The 25,410-nt window shown below is 56.1% G+C and overlaps 1 protein-coding gene across 18 annotated transcripts in view, besides 4 other annotated features; it reads left to right on the top strand.

Annotated features, from left to right (window-relative positions):
• ATP2A3 (ATPase sarcoplasmic/endoplasmic reticulum Ca2+ transporting 3) overlaps positions 1-25,410 on the top strand; it is a 40,565-nt gene that overhangs the window by 4,384 nt on the left and 10,771 nt on the right. For 17 of the 18 annotated variants that reach the window (XM_047436153.1, NM_174957.3, NM_005173.4 and 14 more), the window contains exons 2-17: positions 6,344-6,361; positions 6,625-6,707; positions 8,369-8,473; positions 8,665-8,803; positions 9,281-9,361; positions 9,458-9,543; positions 12,199-12,663; positions 14,906-14,994; positions 15,248-15,350; positions 16,532-16,663; positions 17,323-17,448; positions 18,400-18,618; positions 18,748-19,083; positions 22,418-22,638; positions 23,585-23,787; positions 24,777-24,862. In XM_047436153.1, the coding sequence (XP_047292109.1) occupies positions 6,344-6,361; positions 6,625-6,707; positions 8,369-8,473; positions 8,665-8,803; positions 9,281-9,361; positions 9,458-9,543; positions 12,199-12,663; positions 14,906-14,994; positions 15,248-15,350; positions 16,532-16,663; positions 17,323-17,448; positions 18,400-18,618; positions 18,748-19,083; positions 22,418-22,638; positions 23,585-23,787; positions 24,777-24,862 (2,492 nt within the window). Of the gene's footprint in view, positions 1-6,343; positions 6,362-6,624; positions 6,708-8,368; positions 8,474-8,664; positions 8,804-9,280; positions 9,362-9,457; positions 9,544-12,198; positions 12,664-14,905; positions 14,995-15,247; positions 15,351-16,531; positions 16,664-17,322; positions 17,516-18,399; positions 18,619-18,747; positions 19,084-22,417; positions 22,639-23,584; positions 23,788-24,776; positions 24,863-25,410 lie in introns of those variants that run through there. The other variant, XM_011523892.3, reaches the window with a different exon arrangement.
• Positions 1,831-2,735: an enhancer, noted in NCBI's record as "H3K4me1 hESC enhancer chr17:3860613-3861517 (GRCh37/hg19 assembly coordinates)". NCBI's record gives its function as "activates a minimal SCP1, AML or CMV promoter by ChIP-STARR-seq in naive H9 embryonic stem cells {active_cell/tissue: H9 hESC(naive)}" and the evidence as "EXISTENCE:reporter gene assay evidence [ECO:0000049][PMID:30033119]".
• Positions 6,233-7,081: an enhancer, noted in NCBI's record as "H3K4me1 hESC enhancer chr17:3856267-3857115 (GRCh37/hg19 assembly coordinates)". NCBI's record gives its function as "activates a minimal SCP1, AML or CMV promoter by ChIP-STARR-seq in naive H9 embryonic stem cells {active_cell/tissue: H9 hESC(naive)}" and the evidence as "EXISTENCE:reporter gene assay evidence [ECO:0000049][PMID:30033119]".
• Positions 15,057-15,216: a silencer, noted in NCBI's record as "silent region_8025". NCBI's record gives its function as "represses an Ori minimal core promoter by ATAC-STARR-seq in GM12878 lymphoblastoid cells {active_cell/tissue: GM12878}" and the evidence as "EXISTENCE:reporter gene assay evidence [ECO:0000049][PMID:35858748]".
• Positions 18,450-18,949: an enhancer, noted in NCBI's record as "H3K4me1 hESC enhancer chr17:3844399-3844898 (GRCh37/hg19 assembly coordinates)". NCBI's record gives its function as "activates a minimal SCP1, AML or CMV promoter by ChIP-STARR-seq in primed H9 embryonic stem cells {active_cell/tissue: H9 hESC(primed)}" and the evidence as "EXISTENCE:reporter gene assay evidence [ECO:0000049][PMID:30033119]".

Raw genomic sequence — 25,410 nt, 5'->3', positions numbered from 1 at the left:
AAGCTCAACGTCTTTCATGCTTCACCCTAGTTTTCACTCCCACTGGCCCCTGCTGGGCAGCTGAAGCCCCCCAGGAGCAGCATCAGGCCTGCCCAGCTGGGCCCCCTCACCCTCTTACACCCTAAGGCAGGGCCTGTATTTTCCCATAGCACAGTCGGACGAAGAGATGTTGAGCAAACCCTTCATCTCCAGCTCCGGATAAGCCAGGGGTGCTGCAGGCCCCGCTGCAGAGCGGAGAGCTACTTCCAAGGCCCCGCAGTGGCTCCCGCAGAGCAAGGTCAGGTGTCCACTCTAGGTGGACCCCGGAGACACAGGCAGGGCCAGGTGGGCTGGGCGGGTCTTGCCCAGCCAGGGCCTCTTCCTGACTCTGCAAGTGACGATTTAATTGCTCTGTAAATTTACCTTTGAGGAAGACCTGGGTGAGTGCTTGCCTCTCCCGGCTGGAACTGACATTTAGAAGCTGAAATACCAGTTTCCAATGAAGGAAGGAGTAGAGGGGGGATGAGGGGAGCAGGTGGTGTGGAGCCTGGGGGCAGCCCAGGGGCATCGCTTACCCCCCTTCTCCCTGGCTCTGGACTGTGGGCTCAGGGCCCTGGCCTGCACCACGGAGCAACTGAGTAAACAATGACTGTAAGGACTCAGCATAAACACAGGGATGACTCAGCCCCGCCCCACCCTGGAAGTGTTCCAGTGTGGTGGGGGGACCCTAATACTGACAACTGGTCAGAGAAGGGCACAGCGATGAGGTAGGGGAGGGGCTTTCAGAGAAGGCTTCCTGGAAAGGGGGTTTATATGAGGAGATAGGATGCTGCTGTGCACAGAAGGAATGGCACAAGCAAAATGTTGGAGGAGGAAGGCCGGGCGCGGTGGCTAGCACCTTGGCATCTCAGCACCTTGGGAGGCCGAGGTGGGTGGATCACTTGAGATCAGGAGTTCGAAACCAGCCTGGCCAACATGGTGAAACCTCATCTTTACTAAAAAATAAAAATAAAAAATTAGCCAGGCATGGTGGCAGGCGCCTGTAATCCCAGCTATTTGGGAGGCTGAGGCAGGAGAATCGCTTGAACCCAGGAGGCAGAGGTTGCAGTGAACCAAGATTGCACCACCGCACTCCAGCCTGGGCAACAGAATGAGACTCCATCTGAAAAAAAACAATATATATATATGTGTGTGTGTGTGTGTGTATATATATATATATATATATTTATATATGTGTGTGTGTATATATATGTGTGTATATATATATGTGTGTATATATATGTGTATATATATGTGTGTGTATATATATGTGTGTGTATATATATGTGTGTCTATATATATGTGTATATATATGTGTATATATATATATATATGAATGAGGAGGAGAAGGTTTTGCAAAACGGGATTATCAACACATCACGCTGGACCCCATAATTGTGTACAATTATGATTTGTCAATTACAAATACACTAAAAAGCAGGGGTGGCAATCCTGAGGCTTGGCTAACAGAGGGACAGATGTGCATTCGGGATACAGACATGATCCTAGAAGGGCAGGTGGGGACAGATCCAGGAAGGCCCTGAAGCCCGTGCTAAAGTTGGTCTTTATTCTGTAGGCCAAGGACAGCCACTGAAGCTCTGTGAACAGGACAGAGGCAGGGTCAGTCATCCATCACATATGTTTACTGAGCACCTGCTATGCTCCAGGAGCTGCTCTGGGTGCTGGAGACGCTGCGCTTAACGAAGTCCTGCTGCCCTAGAGCTTATATTCTAGCAAGTGATTCTGGCTGGAGCGTGTTCACTGTGTGCTACGCATTCCAAGTGCTTTATGCATGCCGTTCAATCTTCCGGCATCCCTGTGAGGTACTTACATTTATCACCCTCTTTTTGCAGATGGAGAAACAGACACAGGGGATTAGGTAACTGGCCTGTGGCCACAGAAGTACCGTGAGATAGAGCAGGATTTGAACTTGAGCCCTCTGGACCAGATTCCTTGCTCTAAGCCACGAAGCTTCTCTGATCACCTCCCTCTTTTCCCAGGACTGCAGGCTGACTCCCAGGCCTGCACGCTGGGCCTCCGTGAACACAGGCCCTCTCAGTCTGGCAACATGAGCCAGGCAGGGGTCACCGTGGCGGAGGCTCAGATTAGAATAGTGGCCAGCCCCACTGTGGCTCTCAGAGAGAGCGGCACCTCCTGGTCCTGTCTCTGCCCCCTGCAGCCCAGCGGATGGCACTGAGAGTGGGCAGAGCCAGGGCACTCTCTCATTTAACAGATAGGACATCTGGCACTGCCAGAGGCCCAAGGCCGCCATTTCAAGGGGAACTATCTCAGCCTCCAACACGCAGCCTGGGAGAGAGCAAGGAAGGAGGCAGCATCTTCCAGGAATGCCTGGGGTAGGGGATCTCCCAGCCCTGGGCTCCCTCCATCACCCTGGGGCTCATTCATGCGAGGGGAGAATTGGGTCCTTCAGGGTTGCATTTAGAAGCAGATCAGGCCTGAGCAGGCAGAGCCTCGTAAACCCCTAAAGCACCATCAGTGAGGCCAGCAGGGCCTTTTGGACAGGAGGATTTGGGCTGTGGGCTCTCTACAGAGGGGCACGCCGACTGAAGGGATGGGGACATCCAGCCCAACGGTCAGGACATGGGACACCAAGGGTTTTCAGATGAGCTTGGGTGAGCGGTAAAGAGAGTGGAGGAGGGAAGGCAGGACAGCCTAAGAGTTAGCATCGGAGGCCCACAGCAGGGGGTCGAGAACCAGACTGCCTGAGCTCAAAACCCTTCCCTGTCTCCCCCGCTGTGTGACGGTGAACTAGTCACTCAACCTCTCTGTTGTGTACTCTGTAAAATGGGCATAACAATGGCATCCTCCTTCCCAGCTTGTTTGCGGATCATGAGAATAAGGCACGCAAGGAGTTAGCAGGGTGTCTGGCGCACACCACCAGCTGCTGCTGCTATGACCTCCGCTAAGCACCTCACGTGCTCGGTCCCCAGCGTCTTCCCATTTGTTCTCTGGTGATAATGCGGTAAGGCACCTGGTACATTGCTTGGCAGGTGCTTGGTAAATGTGACTCTTAACAGTAATGATGATGATGATCACCACAGCAGGCCTTCAAAGTGGGTGTGGGTACCCCACCTCCCAAATGAGGCTCAAGGCCCCACAAGGAGCTGGCTGTGTGGGCAGGACCAGAGCTGTGCTCAGCGGCAGGTCAGGCCTCCCCAGGTGGGCGGGGTGAGAGGGGAGCTTTGCGGAGGAAGCCAGGTCACAGCGGAGGGGGTATCAGTCAGGTTCAGCTTGGATACTGCAGCAATCGCCTCCAAATCTCTCTTGGCACCTTAAAGGACCAGAGGCTCATTTCTCACTCCTGCTGAGTGCTGGCAGCAGGCTGGTCCCCGGGTGCTCTGTGCCTTCCTCATTCTGTGACCCAGGTCGATGGAGCAGACACCATCTCACAGGCTGCTGGCTGCTGTAGGAGAGAGTGTCAAAGAGCTCCAGCCGCTTGGCTATTTACATTTAAATGCATGAAAATTAAAGTAAAATTCGAAATTAGTCACAGTCCAGGGGCTCGCCAGCTGCATGTGGCTAGTGGCTGCGGTCCTGGCCAGCACAGACGGAGGATACTTCTGCTCTCACAGAACATTCTACTGGACAGTGACCTCCTAGAAAGTCCCCCACCAAAAGTCAATGCTCCAACCTGGCACGAATACACATCCTTCTTCTCAAAACTCACACGGGGGCCGGGAAGTGCCCTCCTACTATGTGCCCACAAGGTGGGGGAGAACCAGAAATATTTGGGGAACAACATAATGAGCACCAAAGACTGGATCCTGGGTCAGGGTGGGTCAGAGAGCAGAAGGGGAGATGATCCAGGTAGACAGGTAGAGAAAGGTGAACTGAGCCGGGCGCGGTGGCTCACACTTCTAATCCCAGCACTTTGGGAGGCCGAAGTGGGTGGATCACCTGAGGTCAGGAGTTCGAGACCAGCCTGGCCAACATGGTGAAACCCCGCCTCTACTGAAAATACAAAAATTAGCTGGGCGTGGTGGCAGGCACCGGTAATTCCAGCTACCCGGGAGGCTGAGGCAGGAGAATCGCTTGAACCTGGGAGGCGGAGGTTGCAGTAAGCCAAGATCCCGCCACTGCGCTCCAGCCTGGGCGAGAGAGCAAGACTCCATCTCAAAAAAAAAAAATAAAATAAAATAAAATAAGAGAAAGGAGAACTTGAGAGACCAGCCGGGGCAGGCAGGAGGCATCATGGGGACCTTTGTGGGGAAGTCCAGGACTGGAGCTGGCACGTGTACCCCATGACACGCTTCCCAACCCCAGGCCTCGCCCCTGCCCAGAATAAAGAAAGGTGAGGGTTACAGGCATCCCCCGGGAAGAGCCCAGCACAAGCCCACCCATGCGCACCATGAGGTTAGTGCTGTCCTGATTCGAGGCTGGGGCATGGCTGGGGTGACCTCGAAAGCACACTGCTCCATTGGAGAATTGGCCCAGAAACCAGTCCTGGCCCTCCCCCCGCCTTTCCTGTTCGCCTCAGCTAAATAGATCAGAAGGAAAAAGTCTGTTTGATTTTAATCTCGACGCAGGACACTGGAGATTACATTTTCCACGGAAAATGTCAGCCACTGCCGAAAATAGGACTTTGGAGAAAATGCTAGAAAGTGTATTTTTAGGCTATATATTTCCCTCCTGGATTCCTACAGTCCAGTGGGCTGCTTGATACTCCCCAGGGTTCAGCTGCCAGGTGCAGACCCCAAAGCTTCCAAACAGGTGGTCCGGGGAGAGGGCTCCCGTAGGAAAAAAAAATGCCTGTAGGCCAAAAACAGGTGGACCAATGCAAGGACCTGTTTCCAGTGTCAGGAAGAAGGAGGTGGAAGAGAGCCAGCCATGGCCGGGGCCTCAGATTCCGCATGGCTAACGAGCTTCGGGGAGATGCCACAGATGTCCGGAGACTGTCCTTTGAGTGGCAAGAGACAAGAGGAGGCAGGGCTCAGTTAGACTGCGGCCTGGGAAGGGGGAGCTTCTCCAAGCCCACCCTGCAGAGCCTGGCTCCCGCCCCTCTCATCCCCACACAGACCCACTCACTCACTGTGTGGCCTTGCCCAAGCCACACCGCCACCCTGATCCTCCGTGCCCGGGTCTGTGAAGCAGGGCAGGAACTCCCTGCCACCTGCCTGCCCTTTAGGCTGTAGGAATGATTCAACCACTTCAGGGGCCCGAGGCACCTCTGCCTGATACAAAAGGTGCTTCGGGAAATGTTGGAGATAAAAATCAGCACCTAGGCCTGGGCGGTGGCTCACGCCTGTAATCCCAGCACTTTGGGAGGCCGAGGCGGGCAGATCACAAGGTCAGGAGTTCGAGACCACCCTGGCCAACATAGTGAAACCCCATTTCTACTAAAAATACAAAAATCAGCCGGGCGTGGTGCCGCGTGCCTGTAATCCCAGCTACTCAGGAGGCTAAGGCAGGAGAATCGCTTGAACCCGGGAGGTGGAGGTTGCAGTGAGCCAAGATTGCGCCACTGCACTCTGGCCTGGGCGACAGAGCGAGACTCTCTTAAAAAAAAAAAAAAAAAAATCAGCACCTCAATTGAGGTGGGTGCTGTTAGAGTTTGGAAACAGTGTTCTTCACCATGTTGTGTGGGGGGCGACTGGGTATGTGGGGCGGGGCTGGGGGGTCTTCACTGAGCTCGATGGAGTGCAGGGCCTGGGGGGGACTGCACCATGGGAGGGATCCTCACTGCGGGGTGCTGGCTGCTGGGGTCCTGTCCAGGGGAGCCCTGCTGTGCGGTGGGGCCCAGCAGGCCGGCCCAGCTGCAGACCTTGTCCAGCTGGTCCCAGGGGAGCAGGGATGTTAGAGGCAGGGTGAGCGGAAGGCGCCTGAGCTGGTGTTCTCCATTTGAGGGAGGGGCTGCCTTGCTGTGGGGGTGGCAGAGACTCAACAGGACTCTGCGGCCATCTAAGGAAGGGCTATGCAGGGAGCCGTGAGAACAGCCCACTCTCCGTGTGACCTGGGTGGGGGAAGTGTCTGTTTTCTAGGCCTCAGTTTCCCTTCTGTGAAGTGGGGCAGGGAGGGGCTGGACTGGAGGGGCTGGAAGGACCCTCTTGGCTCCGTACTCATCCCACGATGAGCCAAGTCACCCTAGATCTTCCTCAATCTGAGTCGGGGGAGGGTAGAGGGGTGGAAGCATTTGGGCTCAAACCATTTATCCTGTGGCCTCAGAGAGCCCTGGGGATACATCCAGTCCGTGGTGGGGGTCTGGGCGGGCACGGTGGGGAGGCACTGCCAGACTCCCCCGAGGCCCCTGCGTGACCCACTCCTCTCTTGTCTCCTCATGGCTCCCGTGGCTGCCTGGATCCTGCAGAGCTCCCGAGTGAGGAAGGTGAGGCTGGCACCGGGATGGACCTCTAGGCCGCGGGCAGCATCCCTGGGTCGTTCTCTGTCTGGTCATGACTTCCTTCTCCCCGCTGAGTGAGGCCTTGCTGAGCTCCCCAGGATCACCCACCTGAGCCTCTCAGCGACCTGGGTTCTCCCTCTTCTGAGTGCAGGGAGGGAATGGGCCGGGAGGTCTCCCGGGCCATCCCAGCTCTGAGTGGGCAGGGTCAGTGGTGGGGGCCCAGCCTCACACATGACCCCCGTTCCCAGGGAAGTCCCTGTGGGAGCTGGTGCTGGAACAGTTTGAGGACCTCCTGGTGCGCATCCTGCTGCTGGCTGCCCTTGTCTCCTTTGTAAGTAGGGCCCTGCCAGCCATCCTGTGGTAGTCGGTAGCCCTGGAGGGAGAGCCAGGCTGGGCAGTGCTCCGAGGTCCTGGAGCCTGGGCCTGTCCTCCACACCCTGGGCCTGCGCCCTGGCCTTCCCTGGCCCTGCCCTGCTCAGACTTCAGCTTCCCTTGCCTGAACCCTCATGGCCCCTACATTGGGTCCCCGGCTCCCACCTGACCCCTCCAATCCATCTTATCCTCTGGCTCTCAGCGAGCTCCCCAACTCACATCTGCCCCCCGCCCCGCCCTGCTGTACCCTAGGGTTTCTCTGCCTCAGCACTACTGATAGTTTAGACCAGATCATTCTTTGTCGGGGTGGGGGTGGGGGCTTTCCACTGTAGGATGTTCAGCAGCATACCTGGACTCTACCCACAAGATGCCAGTAGCACCTCCCGGGGATGACCATCAAAAATGTCTTTAGACAGCTGGGCCTGACAGCTCATGATTGAAATCCCAGCACTGTGGGAGGCCAAGGCAATAAAATCGCTTGAGCCCAGGAGTTTGAGACCAGCATGGGCAACATAGGGAGACCCTGTCTCTACAAAAAATACAAAAACATTAGCCGAGTGCGGTGGTGCAGGCCTATAGTCCCAGCCACTCTGGAGGCTGAGGCAGGAGAATTGCTTGGGCCCAGGAGGATGGAGCTGCAGTGAGCCGTGATCACACCACTGCATTCCAGCCTGGGCAACAAAGCAAGACCCTGTCTCAAAAAAATTAAAAATGTCTTCGGACATTGCCAAATGCCCCTGGGGGGCACCTTGTCCCTGGCTGAGTGCTGCTGCCGGAGCCCCTTCCGTGGATCCCAGTGTCCCCCACATGGATTTTGGGGTCTGAACCTCTTGCAGCCTCCTCTTGGCTGCCGCATCTCCTTGCTGTTCCTCCATTCCCACTGATGCTCCCCTGGCTAATGGGCTTTGGATGCGTGCATCAGAATCACCTGGGCTTGGCTGGGCGCAGTGGCGCATGCCTGTAATCCTAGCACTTTGGCAGGCCGAGGCGGGTGAGCTCAGGAGTTCAGCCTGGGCAACGTGGTAAAACCCCGTCTCTACTAAAATACGAAAAATTAGCCAGGCGTGGTGGTGCACGCCTGTAATCCCATCTACCCGGGAGGCTGAGGCATGAGAATTGCTTGAACCTGGGAGGCAAAGGTTGCAGTGAGCCAAGATCCAGCCACCGCACTCCAGCCTGGGCGACAGAGCAAGACTCTGTCTCAAAAGAATCCGTAGGCTTGCCGACACACAGGTGACTGGGCCCCACCCCAGAATTTACGACTCAGGAGGTCTGGGAGGGACCCCAAGATCAACATTTCTTACAAGTTCCCAGCTGCTGCTGCTGCTGGTCTGGGGACCACACTGAGATGCTCTGCTCCAGGCAGACAGTAAGGCCTCGGTGGGCAGCCATCCAACTGCCCCACAGCCTTGAAGGTTGGCCTGGGTGGGGTGGTCACTCCTGTGGGGTGGGCACCCTGTGCCAAGGCCTTCTCGGAGGAGTGGCCCTCTCCAAGCCAAGAGCTCCCCAGTGCTATCTCCCCAAAGCAGGGAAGCAAGCAGGAGATCCGGGGTGCCAAGGAAAAGGAGAGCAGATCTCGGCCCGCAGCAGGGCCTGAGCTCACCAGCTGTGATCCTGCAGGTCCTGGCCTGGTTCGAGGAGGGCGAGGAGACCACGACCGCCTTCGTGGAGCCCCTGGTCATCATGCTGATCCTCGTGGCCAACGCCATTGTGGGCGTGTGGCAGGTGGGAGGCACTGGGGGTGGGACCGGGCGGGGGGCGGTCTCCCAGCCACTAGGAGTGCCCTCCACCTGGTGCTGGCGTCCTGCAGACTCTCCTGCTTCCACCTCCATCCCAGGCCCCAGAGGAGTCACTCCAAGGGGGTGGTCTGCGGGGGGCAGCAGGGACAGACTGCCTGCCGGCCTTCTATTCTGCAGGAACGCAACGCCGAGAGTGCCATCGAGGCCCTGAAGGAGTATGAGCCTGAGATGGGCAAGGTGATCCGCTCGGACCGCAAGGGCGTGCAGAGGATCCGTGCCCGGGACATCGTCCCAGGGGACATTGTAGAAGTGGCAGGTATGCCGGGGCCTCCTCCTTTTATTTTATTTTATTTTATTTATTTATTTATTTTATTTATTTATTTATTTATTTTTTGAGATGGAGTCGTGCTCTGTTGCCCAGACTGGAGTGCAGTGGCGCAATCTCGGCTCACTGCAACCTCCTGCCTCCCGGGTTCAAGCAATCCTCCTGTCTCAGGCTTCTGTAGGGGCCTCCTCCTTTTATTATGTGGGCCTGGGAGCCCCATCCCTCTCTGTGCCTCCGTCATTCCGGCCGTATATACAGAGGGGGTGGCTGTCGGATCCCTCCAAAGCCCTTTGGCCAAAACCCTGTTGGACAGATGAGACTGTGGGCCAGAGGGGCAGGGGTCACCAGAGCGATCACAGCTCAGGCACCCGACGCCCAGCCCCAGCCTTGGGTTCTGGGAACCCTTCTGGCTTTTCCCAGCTGGTGGTGCCCAAAGCCACCCTCAGCCAAGCCATTCTCCCCGCACAGTGGGGGACAAAGTGCCTGCTGACCTCCGCCTCATCGAGATCAAGTCCACCACGCTGCGAGTGGACCAGTCCATCCTGACGGGTGAGGCCCCCCCCAGGAGGCCGGGACCTAGTGGGCCAGGACTAAGGGATGGGCGTGTCTTCATGTGGGGCTTCTCATCTCTGATTCCCTGACCAGGTGAATCTGTGTCCGTGACCAAGCACACAGAGGCCATCCCAGACCCCAGAGCTGTGAACCAGGACAAGAAGAACATGCTGTTTTCTGTAAGTCAAATGTCTGGGGCCTTTGCCCAGACAATGATAAAAATAACAACATTAGGATTATGATCACGCCTGTAATCCCAGCACTTTGGGAGGCTGAGGTGGGTGGATCACCTGAGGTCAGGAGTTCGAGACCAGCCTGGCCAACATGGTGAAACCCCGTCTCTACTAAAAATACAAAAAGATTAGCTGGGGGTGGTGGCGTGTGCCTGTAATCCCAGCAACTTGGGAGGCTGAGGCAGGAGAGTCACTTGAGCCCGGGAGGCGGAGGTTGCAGTGAGCCAAGATTGTGCCACTGCACTCCAGCCTGGGTGACGAGAGCAAAACTCTGTCTCAAAAAAAAAAAAAAAATATTTTTTTTTCTGGCCCTGTTGCCCATGCTGGAGTGCAGTGGTACGATCTCGGGTCACTGCAACCCCCGCCCCCCAGGTTCAAGCTACTCTTGTGCCTCAGCTTCCCAAGTAGCTGGGACTACAGGCACCTGCCACCACACCCGGCTAATTTTTGTATTTTTAGTAGCAACAAGGTTTCACCACGTTCACCAGGCTGGTCTCGAACTCCTGACCTCAAGTGATCCGCCCACCTTGGCCTCCCAAAGTGCTAGGATTATAAGCATGAGCCACTGCACCTGGCCCAACATTAAGGTTAATCAGCTAAAGTCCTACGGGGAAGAACCTCATCGATTCTTGACAATACATGCAAATTTATAGTAATAATAATAGCTTGTGTTTACTGGGGACTGTGTGCCTGGCACTGTTCTAAGCTCTTTACACATACTAGTTTATTTAATCCTTAACACCAAATCTTTGAAATAAGTACTCTTGTTATGCTTGTTATCTATATTTTCCAGCAAGGAAAGAAACAAGCACAGAGAGATTAAGTAAGTTTCCCAAGGTCACACAGCCAATGAGTGGCACAGCTGGGACGAACTCAGACATCCTGGATTTCTGCTGGGAGACCCTGCCTTCCCCTGGAGAAGGGCAGAGCCTCCCTATAATCACTCGATAGAAATGCTCTAGAGGAAGGAGGTCTGCCAAAATGGTGGAGGATGGTGGGGGATACTCCATTCTCCGACAGGAAAACTGACCCACAAGGCATGATGCCCGGTCTACCTGGCTCTTCTCAGGGATAGTGATGGGTTCAGCTTTGGCGGGAGAGACCTGCCTCTGTGGCCTCAGAGAAAGCTAGCAAGTGATACTCACAGCTGCCCCGCAGTAGCCTGAGGCCAGCAAGGAGCGTTTAGGGGCACAAGGAAGGGTCAGGCCAGTCAGACAATGGCCCAGGCCACCAAGTTATCGGGGGATAGAAAACTTCCTGGAAGGGAAGAGGGATGAAGAAAGTGAAACTCACCCAGAACTCCTTTTTTTTTTTTTTTTTTTTTTTTTTGAGACAGAGTCTCACTCTGTCACCCATGCTGGAGTGCAGTGGCACAATCTCAGCTCACTGCAACTTCCGCCTCCCGAGTTCAAGCGATTCTCCTGCCTCAGCCTCCCAAGCAGGTGGGATTACAAGCACACACCACCGTGCCCAGCTAATTTTTGTATTTTACTAGAGACGGGGTTTCACCATGTTGGCCAGGCTGGTCCCAAACTCCTGACCTCAGGTGATCTGCCCGCCTTGGCCTCCCAAAGTTCTGAGATTACAGGTGTGAGCCACTGCACCTGGCCCAGAACTCTTCTTGAGAGGGGCCTACCTAGCTGCATAGAAGCCTTGGACAGGATGCCTTGGGGTGGGGAGGGAAGCTCTGAGAGCTGTTGCTCCAGGATCAGCAGCTGTCACTAAGAAGCTTTGGAGGGGCCGGGCATGGTAGCTCATGCCTATAATCCCAGCACTTTGGGAGGCCAAAGCAGGAGGATCATTTGAGCTCAGGAGTTTGAGACCAGCCTGAGCAACATAGTGAGACCTCGTTTCTACTAAAATTCAAAATTAAACAAAACAATTTTCTAAAGTAATAATAAAAAGAAGCTTTGGAGGAAGGTGTCTGGCTGGGCCCTGCATGTTGGGGGCTGGAGCTACGTTGCTTAAGACAGAAGAGAGGCTGGGGCCTGCCTTCTCGCCAGCCCCAACAGCATATGCATTTGAAGGGGCACCAGGTTCTTAGCCTCCTCAGAAAAACTATCTTGGGCCTGTGTTGGACCACTTTACAGAAGAGGACACCAAGCCACAAGGCTGGCTGTCCCTTATGCTAGGAATTGGGGATTTTACTGGAGCCTTGGAAATGGATGAGCTGAGGCTCAGGTTTTCTGGATTTTTTAGTAAATATTAATGGACTGTTTATTGGGTTCGTAGTCAGCTATGCTCCTGTGTGGCTATAGTGATTGTTTACGAAATCACATTTTGTGGGGTTGATGCTTGTGCTGCGCTGGTTGATTATATCATCAATATCAGCCCCCGTGCCTCCTCTGTGCCCGGCCCCGTGCTAGGCACTGGGGATACGGCGATGAACCCAAACCCTGCCTTCCTAGAGCTGACACTCTCATGGGAAGGCAGCAGGGACCCCGTGCATACATAGCTACAGGAGTCTGGAAGCACTAGCAACATGGAGAAAAGGAAAGCCGGGTAGAAGGATAAGTGCCTTATTCCGGCCTGAAGGAGTCAGGGGTCCTGGGCCCCTGGTTGGCTGCTGAGCAGCTTTTTCCTTGTCCCTCCCCTGGCCAGGGCACCAATATCACATCGGGCAAAGCGGTGGGTGTGGCCGTGGCCACCGGCCTGCACACGGAGCTGGGCAAGATCCGGAGCCAGATGGCGGCAGTCGAGCCCGAGCGGACGCCGCTGCAGCGCAAGCTGGACGAGTTTGGACGGCAGCTGTCCCACGCCATCTCTGTGATCTGCGTGGCCGTGTGGGTCATCAACATCGGCCACTTCGCCGACCCGGCCCACGGTGGCTCCTGGCTGCGTGGCGCTGTCTACTACTTCAAGATCGCCGTGGCCCTGGCGGTGGCGGCCATCCCCGAGGGCCTCCCGGCTGTCATCACTACATGCCTGGCACTGGGCACGCGGCGCATGGCACGCAAGAACGCCATCGTGCGAAGCCTGCCGTCCGTGGAGACCCTGGGCTGCACCTCAGTCATCTGCTCCGACAAGACGGGCACGCTCACCACCAATCAGATGTCTGTCTGCCGGGTGAGTGACGGCCAGCTTGGTGTTGCTGTGCGTTGCAGAGCAGGCTGGGCTCCCTCTCTGGGTCTCTCCCCCACCTCCTTTTCAGTGAGGGATGGAGGAGAGAATCTGTGGGCTGTCCCTTGGCCCAGAGCAGGTCCAGGTTTTCACAAGATGACAGGGAGACTATAGCAAATCATGCCTGGGTAGCCACATGTCACTGAGGCCTGTGTGTCACTGTGGGGCCCTGGCCAGGTTGCTGACAGTCTGTTAACCTCAGTCTCCTCATTGGAAGCCTGGCTGTGTGAGCCCTGCTAGGTAAACGTAAAGGACATAGGAGAGGCTCAAGTTCAGCCTTGGCATAGGGGCCAAGCTGGGCCTGGATCCGGGTTCCATCCTGCCCCATCATGACTCTGTGCAGTCGACACCTGTCACCAGATAAGCCAGCTCCGGTAACCTGGGAAGGGCCAGGGCAGGAATTATTCATTCCCTGCACTTCATCCCACATCCTGGGCTCACTGCCCACACGGCCAAGGGATTCTGGCTGAGACTTCAGCAGGCCCATGGGGCAGAAGGCTCCTCCTGACCCAGCAGATGGGTGGGTGGGGAGATGGTGAAGGCTATGTGTTCCCCACCCTTCCCAGGTCCCCAGTGCCTCTCTGTCACCCCTGCTTCCACATCTGCCCACTGGGCTTGGAAACCCAGGCTCTGTATTCTGAGACCCTAAGGCCTTCTGGGAGCCCATCAAAGGCTGCTTTAGGGGAGGGGTGCTACCGAGCTTTACTGTCCTGCTAAAAGCCCTCATAGGATTTTATTTAAACAGAGTGTTTCTTGACTAATAGCGATTTTTTTTTTTGAGGCAGAGTCTCATTCTGTTTGTTGTCTAGGCTGAAGTGCAGTGGCATGATCTGAGCTCACTGCAACCTCTGCCTCCCAGGTTCAAGCGATTCTCCTGCCTCAGCCTCCCAGGTAGCTGGGACTACAGACAGGCATGCACCACCACACCCAGCTAATTTTTGTATTTTAGTAGAGACGGGGTTTCACCATGTTGGCCAGGCTGGTCTATAACTCCTGACCTCAAGTGATCCACCCGCCTTGGCCTCCCAAAGTGCAGGGATTTCAGCCCTGAGCCACCGTGCCCGGCCCTAATAAATTTTTTTTTTTTTTTTTTTGAGATGGAGTCTCACTCTGTTGCCAGACTGGAGTGCAGTGGCACGATCTTGGCTGCAACCTCCGCCTTCTGGGTTCAGGCGATTCTCTTGCTTCAGCCACCCGAGTAGCTAGGACTACAGGCGCGTGCCACCACACCCAGCTAGTTTTTGTAGTTTTAGTAGAGATGGGGTTTCACCATGTTAGCCAGGATGGTCTCAATCAAGCTTGACCTCGTGATCCACCCGCCTCGGCCTCCCAAAGTGCTGGGATTACAGGCGTGAGCCACTGGGCCCAGCTAATAATAAAGAGTTTTAAAGTGCAGTGTGGGGAAGTTGTAGGGGCCTTACGTGCTGGATGCTGGGCTGTGCTTGCTGGGTGACTGCCCCCAGGAGTAGGGAGGAGAGCGGGAAGGAAGGGACACTTATGCATCTACTGGGCGCTGGGCTGGCCATTTGCTTGAGAATGTGCGGTGAGGCCATGTCCACGAAGCAAGAACTGTCTCCCCAGCAGAGCTGGCTGAACAGACAAAGAAATAGGCATGCTGGGCCAGGTAAGCCTCCTGTTCCTGAGGTGCACAGGTGGGGGCTGAGTGACCCAGCAGGCCCTGTGGCAGGGGCTCACTCTCTGGGGACATCTCTGGGCTAGAGGGGTCTGTGCCCCAGAGAGGCGTGTGGGTTTCCTCCCTTGAAGGCCAGGAACTCATTTCCTTGAAGGCAAAGGAGGGGGCGGTTCCCATGTTACTAGTGGAGAAACTGAGGCTCAGCTACTTGGCCAGGGATCGCACAGTGAGATGGGCAAGGACCCAGGCTTTCTGCCTAGCTCAGGGCTCCCTCAAGCTGGCAACTGCCCCCAGAGCACTGAAGAATCTGCCATAAATCCCTCAGAAGTCCAGGACATTGGGACAAACCGGAGCCGGACACATCTGGCAGAGCAGACGGTCCCTGCCTCAGCCTGGACCCTGCGTTCTATTTCCCTCCTGGTGGGCACGGACGGCCAGGCCGGTTTGGCCCTCGGTCGGGCAGGGGGCCTGCAGGACCCCACCCTGGGGTCGACTGGCCGCCCGGGGAGGAGGGAGGCGACCCCGCCCGCCTAAGCACGCCCCTGCGCTCCCCAGATGTTCGTGGTAGCCGAGGCCGATGCGGGCTCCTGCCTTTTGCACGAGTTCACCATCTCGGGTACCACGTATACCCCCGAGGGCGAAGTGTGAGTGCGGGGCCAGGGGACGCGCGGGCGGGCGGCCTGGGGGCGGGGCCACGCGTGGCGGCGCCGAGGTGGCCGTGGGAGGCCCCTGGGGGCGGGCCAGGAGGCGGAGCCTCTCCCGGGGCGGGGCCAGGAGGCGGAGCCCTTCTGGGGGCGGGGCCAAGAGGCGGAGCCCCCTCCTAGGGGCGGGGCCAAGAGGCGGACCCCTCTCGGGGGCGGAGCCGAGGTCCTCCTGGTGACCGCCCCGGCTCCGCAGGCGGCAGGGGGATCAGCCTGTGCGCTGCGGCCAGTTCGACGGGCTGGTGGAGCTGGCGACCATCTGCGCCCTGTGCAACGACTCGGCTCTGGACTACAACGAGGTGGGCCTCACCCCCTTTCATGACCTCCCTAGTATCCAGGCGACCAGGACAGACCCTTTTCCCAGCCTCAAAGCTCCCAGGGTTGGCAGCCCTTGCTCCCTGGAAGTGCCACACCCAGGGAGCACGGTTACCCCTGCACACCCCTCTCTGCCGCCCCTCCCTTTCCGCAGACAGGCTTCAGAACCCTCCCCCTGGGGCTCTTGGTCTGTGGGGGACTGCCATGGAAGGGGCTGAAGGGCTGGGGAAACCTGTGGGGGGAAGAGATTTGGGGAACAGGACCAAGAAAATGTTGAAAGCAGAAGACACAGCCCACAAAAGGCCCACGTTCAGTTAAAGCCTCCTGCGACTTAGGCATTCACGTGGCCGGGGCAGTGGAATGGGGCATGCAGCAGGCGTCTGCCCAAAGGGAGGTCCTTGGCCAGACCCAGTCCGAGGCCAAGCTGAGGGCAGTAGAGCACCAACGAAGAGTTTTGAGCAGGAGAGTGACATAGTCAGATGTGCATTTACAGAAGATCACTGAGGCTTCCGTGTGGAGGCCAGACAGACAGTAGAGGACCGAAGCCAGGGAGGCCTATGTGGTCATTCAGGCCAGAGAGATGCGGGCTGAGCCCTGGCTGGAGCCTTGGGGAGAGGGGAGAAGGTATGGGTCAGAGACATTTAGGAGCCAAAAATCCTGGGACTTGGTGACTGGTTAGGTGAAAGAGACAGGGAGGAAGCCAGGGGGGCTCCTGGTTCTTGTGCTGTCTGGGGCTGTCGCCGGAGTGGCAAATACAGAGAGTGGGAGAGGTGGCCTGAGGGGTCCCCGGGGAACAAGGTTCAGCAGGCAGCTGGACATCTGGGCTTGGGGCTCAGCAAAGGGCCCCAGGGAGAGCAGGTGGGAGGGTGGAAGCGGGCCCAGACAGCAGAAACCGGTGAAGGAGGCTGACAGGAAGTGGACAGAGATGCAGGCGGAGGGCAGGGACGGTGTGTGGCGATCAATGCCAGTGTGGGGGGCTGAATGTCAGTGTCAGACACCACCCCGACCCCAGGGCGGCCAGGCTGGGAAGGGCTCACGGGCCGGTGCAAAGGAGGTTACACGGAACTCCAGCAAAGGCAGCTGCAGGGGCAAGGAGTGAGTGAGGCTGGGGATGCGGGCTGGAGGCTGCCTGCCCCTCACTCCCTATCCCCTGGGTCCTTGCCAGGCCAAGGGTGTGTATGAGAAGGTGGGAGAGGCCACGGAGACAGCTCTGACTTGCCTGGTGGAGAAGATGAACGTGTTCGACACCGACCTGCAGGCTCTGTCCCGGGTGGAGCGAGCTGGCGCCTGTAACACGGTGAGCAGGGCTGGGGGCTCAGGCCTCCGGCTGCATGGCTGGGGCTTCTGGGACATCTGGAGAAGGCAGACAGGACACTGAAGTTTTTGTTTTGTTTCGTTTTGTTTTTTTTTTTTTTTGAGACGGAGTCTCATTCTGTCGCCCAGGCTTTAGTACAATGGTGCAATCCTGGCTCACTGCAACCTCTGCCTCCCGGGTTCAAGTGATTCTCGTGCCTCGACCTCCCGGCGCGTGCCACCACACCCGGCTAATTTTTGCATTTTTTAGTAGAGACAGGGTTTCACCATGTTGTCCGGGCTAGTCTGAAACTCCTGACCTCAGGTAATCTGCCTGCCTTGGCCTCCCAGAGTGCTGGGATTACAGGCGTGAGCCACCGCTCCTGGCTGACGGTGAAGTAAGACTTGGAGAAAAGAGGGGAGAAGGCTGCGTGTGGGCAAAGGTTTGGAGTTGGGCTGCACACAGCATGGTCAGCAAACGGCATCGTATTGCCATTTCTGGGGCTGGAGAGGGAAATGGAGGCCTTGAATGGTGGGGTCAGAGGAGTGTAGATGTCATCCCACACAGAGCAAGAGGCTCTCTTGGGGCCAAGCAGTTGGTGGGAAGGCAGGCGAGAGTTGCTGGCTCTGTCCTTCATGCCCTGACCTGCCTGGACCCCGCAGGTCATCAAGCAGCTGATGCGGAAGGAGTTCACCCTGGAGTTCTCCCGAGACCGGAAATCCATGTCCGTGTACTGCACGCCCACCCGCCCTCACCCTACTGGCCAGGGCAGCAAGATGTTTGTGAAGGTGGGGGCCTGCCTGGCTGGCCTGGGCCCCTGCGCGCCCTGGGGAACCTGGTCATCCACGCTCCTCTGTGAGCCCCAGTCCTCCCGTGTGAATGGCAGGGTTGGGTTACAAGTTCTCAGGAGCCCCTTTTGCCTCTAACCGGTGGTGTAGGGGTGGTTGGTGCCACCCTTGGTGCTCTGTGTTTTGGAAACTGAGTCCCAGGGAGGGAAAGGAATCGACTCCCTTGCAGACCACTGTCTACAGCGTCTCCGTTGCTGCTCCCAAAACCGAAGAGAGAAATACAGCTCTAGCTTCACCCTGCAAGGGAAGTTTAAACCCCTTTTGAAATGAAAAGGCTTCTGTACTGGGAGCTCGGGCCACTTGGAAAAGTCAGTGCCTGGGTGACCTTTTAGGAGCAGGAGAAGCCACTGAAGGAGCTTTAGAGGCTGTTCCTAGGCCCGGGGTGAGGTCTGAGGTGAGACCTGAGGCCACTGAGGGGCCTGTCATCCCTGGACCCCCTTCCCAGGGCTATGCCCGCCATACCCTGTGTATGGCTCTATTTCTGGTCCCCAGGCAGGGCTCAGCCTGCCTCCCTGCTGCTGAGGCCCCTACCAAATTGGAACCCGAGTAGCACCAGGGAAGCAGGGCCTGCAGGGGATGCCATTCTCACCCCTGCCTGCAAAACGCTGCAGTGCCCGAGTCTGCTGTGGGCTGGTGGGGGAAGGGCATCGCTAGGTTGGTGGCTGCCCCCACCCCAGCACACTCCCCCCATTCTCTTTAGATTGTCTCACAGGGGGACCCACTTGGTTCTCATTCTGAACTTTCAGTGAATGGATTCTGCTCCCTGCCTTGCGTGTGTACCCTTGGGTGGCCTTTGCCCGTATCTTAGTCTCAGTTTCCTGAGTTTGGGCAGGAAGGAGAGGAGGGGTTCTGACTGATGAGTTACCTCTTCTCCCTCTCCCCACCTCGCAGGGGGCTCCTGAGAGTGTGATCGAGCGCTGTAGCTCAGTCCGCGTGGGGAGCCGCACAGCACCCCTGACCCCCACCTCCAGGGAGCAGATCCTGGCAAAGATCCGGGATTGGGGCTCAGGCTCAGACACGCTGCGCTGCCTGGCACTGGCCACCCGGGACGCGCCCCCAAGGAAGGAGGACATGGAGCTGGACGACTGCAGCAAGTTTGTGCAGTACGAGGTGGGTGCAGGAGCCGATTCTCCCTGCAGTACGAGGTGGGTGCAGGAGCCAAGTCTCCCTGCAGCAGCTGAGCAGGTGGTAGGTCAGGGATGGGCTCAGGCCCCGCTTGAATCTGCCCCCTCCCTACAGACGGACCTGACCTTCGTGGGCTGCGTAGGCATGCTGGACCCGCCGCGACCTGAGGTGGCTGCCTGCATCACACGCTGCTACCAGGCGGGCATCCGCGTGGTCATGATCACGGGGGATAACAAAGGCACTGCCGTGGCCATCTGCCGCAGGCTTGGCATCTTTGGGGACACGGAAGACGTGGCGGGCAAGGCCTACACGGGCCGCGAGTTTGATGACCTCAGCCCCGAGCAGCAGCGCCAGGCCTGCCGCACCGCCCGCTGCTTCGCCCGCGTGGAGCCCGCACACAAGTCCCGCATCGTGGAGAACCTGCAGTCCTTTAACGAGATCACTGCTATGGTGAGGCCACAGCCTGGAGCCCCAGGAGGGGGTGATGAGTGGGGCCACGGGGTGTGAAAAGAGCAAGCCGTGCAACTCTCCCCTCTGCCTCATTCTTACCTTTTCTAACATCTTATTACCAAAAAATTCAAATACAAAAAGAAATTTAAATAATGTTATTCTGGGCCAGGCGCGGTGGCTCACACCTGTCATCTCAGCACTTTGGGAGGCTGAGGCGGGCGGATCAGTTGAGGTCAGGAGTTCGAGACAAGCCTAGCCAATATGAGGAAACCCCGTCTCTACTAAAAGTACAAAAATTAGCGGGGCGTGGTGGTGCATTCCTGTAACCCCAGCTACTCAGGAGGCTGAGGCAGGAGAATCACTTGAATCCGGGAGGCAGAGGTTGCAGTGAGCCGAGATCACGCCACTGCACTCCAGCCTGGGTGACAGAGTGAGACTTCGTCTCAAAATAATAATAATAACAATACTAATTTTATTCTGAACACCTACATGTCTATCATCTGGATTCTACAACTAACATTTTATTGTATTTGCTTTATCACATACCTGTCCATGCAGCCATTCTTTGCCCATCCCTAGCCCATCTTTTCTTAGGTGTATTTCAAAGTCAGTTGCAGACATCGGCATACTTCCCCCTCACCTACTTTAGAATACATGTTAACCAGAGAGCAATGTTGTTTGTGGTTCTGTTTTTCCTTTTTGAGGCAAAATTTGCCTTCGATGAAGCACACAGATCTTTGGCGTACTATCTGATGAGTTTAGGAACATGCACACACCTGTGTAACTCACAGCCTTATCAAGATAGGAAAATGCCAGGCATGGTGGCTCACGCTTGTAATTCCAGCACTTTGGGAGGCCAAGGCAGGAGGATTGCTTGAGCCCAGGAGTTTGAGACCCCATCTCTCCAAAAAAAAAAAAAACAAAAAACAAAAAAAAAAAGATATGACACATTACCATCAACCCATGAAGTTCCGTCACACGCCTTCCCCATCTCTGTCCTTCGTCGCAAAACAGGCGATCACTGTTTTCGGTTTTTTTTTTCACCGTATATGAGTTTTATCTGCCCTAGATTTTCAAATGAATGGAATCATACAGTATGGACTGTTTTGGTTTGGGGCTTTTTTGAGATCTATCTGCCTTGTCGTATCAGATTATTGCTTTTTTTTTTTTTTTTTTTTTTTTTTAGACAGAGTCTCGCTCTGTCACCCAGGGCTGGAGCGCAGTGGCACGATCTCGGCTCACTGCAACCTCCGCCTCCCAGGTTCAAGCGATTCTCCTGCCTCAGCCTCCTGAGTAGCTGGGACCACAGGCGCGCACCACCATGCCCAGCTAATTTTTTTATTTTTAGTAGAGACGGGGTTTCACCACATTGGCCAGGATGGTCTCAATCTCTTGACCTTGTGATCCGCCCGCCTCAGCCTCCCAAAGTGCTGGGATTACAAGTATGAGCCACCGCGCCCGGCCTATTGCTTTTTTATTGTTGAGTAGCATTCCACTGTGTGAATATTTCAGTTTATTGAACCATTCCTCTTTGGATGGACATTTAGTTTGGGCCTAGTTTTTGTTCTTAATTGCTGACCTATTCTTCTGACCTCAGCCTCTCCCCTGACCTGGTCTCTGTTTTTAATCTTGACCTCCAGCCTAACCCAGTCCTTAACCCTGACCCATGGCCCAGCCTTGATCTGCACACCAAGCTTGACTATCACTGCAGCCTGGTTCTTGATCTTATCTTTGACCTCTGTGCTGACTTTGTCCCTGACCTTGATGTTGACCCTCATCTTAATCTAATTCTTTTTTTGTTTGTGTGATGAGGTCTCACTCTGTTGCCCAGGCTGGAATGCAGTGGCACAGTCATGGCTCACTGAAGCCTCATCCTCTCGGGCTCAAGAGATCCTCCCACCTCAGCCTCCTGAGGAGCTGGGACTACAGGCATGCACCACCATGCCTGGCTAATTTTTTAATTTTTTGTAGAGATGAGGTCTCCCTATGTTGCCCAGGCTAGTCTTGAACTCCTGGATCAAGCAATCCTCCTGCCTTGGCCTCCTAAAGTGCTAGGATTACAAGTGTGGGCCACCACACCCAGCCCGACATAACTATTTACGTTGAGCTTAACCCTGATATGAATTCCAGTCTTGGCCGGGCACGGTGGCTCACGCCTGTAATCCCAGCACTTTCGGAGGTTGAGGCGGGCAGATCACCTGAGGTCAGGAGTTTGAGACCAGCCTAGTCAACATGGTGAAACCCTGTCTCCACTAAAAATACAAAAATTAGCTGGTGCATGCCTATAATCTCAGCTACTTGGGAGGCTGAGGCACGAGAATTGCTTGAACCTGGGAGGAGGAGGTTGCAGTGAGCCGAGATTGTGCCATTGCACTCCAGCCTGGGCGATAGAGTGAGACTCTGTCCCCCACCAAAAAAAAAGAATTCCAGTCTTGACCTGGACCAAGACCTTATTCTCAACGTTGACCTTGACACTGCCCCACCCCCAATGTAATGCTTTATGTTGACCTCAACTTTGATCTGGCCTTCAATTTTTTTAGATGGAGTCTCACTCTGTTGCCCAGGCTGGAGTGCAGCAGTGCAGTCTCGGCTCACTGCAACCTCCGCCTCCCGGGCTCAAGCGACTCCCCTGCCTCAGCCTCCCATGTAGCTGAGATCATAGGCACGCGCCACTGCGCCCAGCTAATTTTTGTATTTTCAGTAGAGATGGGGTTTCATCATGTTGCCCAGGCTGGTCTTGAACTCCTGACCTCAGGTCATCCACCCACCTCGGCCTCCCAAAGTGCTGGGATTACAGGCGTGAGCCACCGCTCCTGGCCTGGCCTTCAGTTTGACCTTGATTGCAACTCCAGACTTCATGTCACTTGACTTCACTCCTCATGTGGACCTTGACTTGGCCTCTGCCTTTGCCTTGATCTTCAACTTGACTACAACACCTACCTGGCTCTTTACCCGGGCCATCCCCTTGACTTCATTCCTGACTTGACCTCAGCTTTCTCCCTAACCTCAGTTTCATCTTCTACCCCACATCCAACCTCAATTTCATCCCTACCCTCATCGCTGACTCACCGTCATCCCCATCCCCACCTCATCATCTTCCCTAACCTCATGCTTGATATTCTCCCCAACTTTGTCCTTGTCTGCATCCCTTGCCTTCTCCTCAGCCTCATCCTCTGCCCAATTTCTAGTTCATTCTTGAACCCACCATTTGTTCTGTCTAACTGTCTGCTTCCTTTGGAACATCCCCTAAGATTGGGGGTGGGCTGAGTTGAGAAGAGATGGGGAGGTGGAAGGGAAGTTTCTCAGGCACAGCCCTACCTGACCTGGCCCACAGACTGGCGATGGAGTGAACGACGCACCAGCCCTGAAGAAAGCAGAGATCGGCATCGCCATGGGCTCAGGCACGGCCGTGGCCAAGTCGGCGGCAGAGATGGTGCTGTCAGATGACAACTTTGCCTCCATCGTGGCTGCGGTGGAGGAGGGCCGGGCCATCTACAGCAACATGAAGCAATTCATCCGCTACCTCATCTCCTCCAATGTTGGCGAGGTCGTCTGGTGAGGCCGGGCCTTCCCTCCTCTCAGCCCTCTCAATCCGCTCTGTGCCCCTGAGATGGGGAAAACGCCTGTTCCTCGGATGCGCTGCAGGGATGGAGGGGCCTGTGCCCTGCCCTGGCTGGGGCTTTCCAGGGTCCCACCTTGGAGTGGACAGGGGAGAGCACCTCTTGTCATTCTCCAGAGGCCCTGGTGACCTATGGATCATGGTCACCCCAGCACCCACGGAGGTGCCTGAAGAGTCGCCTGTCAGCCCTCCAGCCATGAACTTCCCACTTGCAGATTAGCAAGATGAGAGAAAAGCCCCACCTTTAGGCAGTCGTGTGTGTGTCCGTGTGCGAATGTGTATTTGTGTGCACATGGCCTGAGTGCCTGAGTGAGAGGTGTGTGTAATGTGTATATTTTGCATGTGTGCTCTGGTGCATTTTGAGCGTGAGTACAAGCAGAAGGATTTGTGCCGGCGTGTGACTGTGCACACACTCGTATTCACATGTGAGGATGCCTGTGGGGAATGGTGAGCGTGTGTGTTGCTGGACATGGATGGATTCTGCATCTCTGCACCTCAGGGCAGATATGTAGGTGTTTGCTTGTGTTTGCCGGATGGTGTGGCATGTGCTAGGTTTTTGCACATGTCTGATTCTTGGGCATGCCCTCTTCGTGTGCGTGTGTGTGTGTGTGTGTGTGTGTGTGTGTGTGTACTTGGCCTCTGCTAGGCCTAAAGAGCAGGTATGTCCAGGATCCAGAGCTGGGACTGGGGAAGGCAGGACTGGCCAGGCCCGAGGCAGAGCTGTGTACACACACCCTTCACATCACAGCTGGCGGAGGGAGGAGGGGCTGCTGTGGAGACAGTGGGTGGGTGAGCTCCCAGCCTTGGGTCTGAGCAGGAGCTGGAGCCTGCATCTGCCGGGGGCTAGGCCTACCGGGGCTAGAGCTCATGACTCTGTTCCAGCATCTTCCTCACGGCAATTCTGGGCCTGCCCGAAGCCCTGATCCCTGTGCAGCTGCTCTGGGTGAACCTGGTGACAGACGGCCTACCTGCCACGGCTCTGGGCTTCAACCCGCCAGACCTGGACATCATGGAGAAGCTGCCCCGGAGCCCCCGAGAAGCCCTCATCAGTGGCTGGCTCTTCTTCCGATACCTGGCTATCGGAGGTGAGTGGGGCCTGAGCCCTCCGTGGAATTCCTAAGCTTCCTAAGAGCCTTGTATCAGGCTTGCAAGCTGCAGACAGTGTGACTCAGCCTGGCTTGTGCCAGTAGAAACTGTATGAGCTCATGTAATGGAAAAGACCAGGCATGGCGGGATCTGGGTCTCAGTATCACTGGCATATTTTGGCACTGCCTCAGCTTCATTCTCAGGCCCACGTCCCTCATGGTGGCAGAATGGCTGCTGCAGCCCCAGCCCTCTGCTCACTCCATTACAACCCCAAATTCAGCAGAAGAGAGAGTCTTTTATCATGCTGCTCTCCCGGTAGTATGATAAGAATCTCAGGCCTGGGCTGGGCATGGTGGCTCACACTTGTAACCCCAGCATTGTGGGAGGCCGAGGTGGGCAGATCACTTGAGGTCTGGAGTTTGACCAGCCTGGCCAACATGTGGCTCACACCTGTAACCCCAGCACTTTGGGAGGCCGAGGCAGGCAGATCACCTGAGGTCAGGAGTTTGAGACCAGCCTGGCCAACGTGGTGAAACCCCATCTCTACTAAAAATACAAAAATTAGCTGGGCATGATGGCAGGTGCCTGTAATCCCACCTACTCGGGAGACTGAGGCAGGAGAATCGCTTGAACCCAGGAGGCAGAGGTTGCTGTGAGCCGAGATGGCACCATTGCACTCCAGCCTGGGCGACAGAGTGAGACTCCGTCTCAAAAAAAAAAAAAAAAAAAAGTCTCAACAGGCCTGTTCTCATTGGCCCACATAGGGTTCACCTGCTCATCTCCAAGCACTGGGGCCAAGGGTATGGCAGATGCTGATTGACCAGCCAGGGCCCACCACTGGCATCGAGGGGAGGTGCCTGCAAACCACAGGGCTGAGAGAGGAAAAGGGTGGCTCCCTGCAGGGAATTCAGGGAATTATTAGGCAGGGGAAACAGACGCCAGAAAACCACCGCCATTCTCTACAGCCGGTCTCCTCCCTTCCCCGCAGTGTACGTAGGCCTGGCCACAGTGGCTGCCGCCACCTGGTGGTTTGTGTATGACGCCGAGGGACCTCACATCAACTTCTACCAGCTGGTGAGCAAGGGCTGGCCAGGGAGCCTGTTGAACTTACAGCTCGAGTTGTTGGAGTTCCAGGGGAGATGGGTCTAGAGCCGCATGGGTGGCCTGCAGTGTCCTTCCCCACTCGCTATACACGAATAAACATCCCCACCTGGGGAGCCGAGCTCAGAGCCCACGGGAAACCCAGAGACACCAGCACGGACCCCCAAGCCAAAGGCGCCTCCCCATCCCAGTCAGTTAGCGGGGACCAAGAGGCCTCACTGCCAGATGTATCTTACCTTTGTCAAGGGACCCCTAAAACGTTGAGGCCTCAGAGGAATGAGCCCCTAAATGGTGGGACTTTAGGCAGAGGGTCAAACTGAGGAGATCAAGAATGGAGGGGAGGGCTGGGCACGGTGGTTCACGCCTGTAATCCCAGCACTTTGGGAGGCCGAGGTGGGTGGACCACCTGAGGTCAGGAGTTCGAGACCAGCCGTCCAACGAGGTGAAACCCCGTCTCTATTAAAAATACAAACATTAGCTGGGCGTGGTGGTGCACGCCTGTAATCCCAGCTACTCAGGAG

The sequence above is a fragment of the Homo sapiens genome, chromosome 17 (genome assembly GCF_000001405.40).
Source record: "Homo sapiens chromosome 17, GRCh38.p14 Primary Assembly".
In the NCBI taxonomy this organism is placed as follows: domain Eukaryota; kingdom Metazoa; phylum Chordata; class Mammalia; order Primates; family Hominidae; genus Homo; species Homo sapiens.
This window is presented reverse-complemented; position numbering and strand designations above follow the sequence as displayed.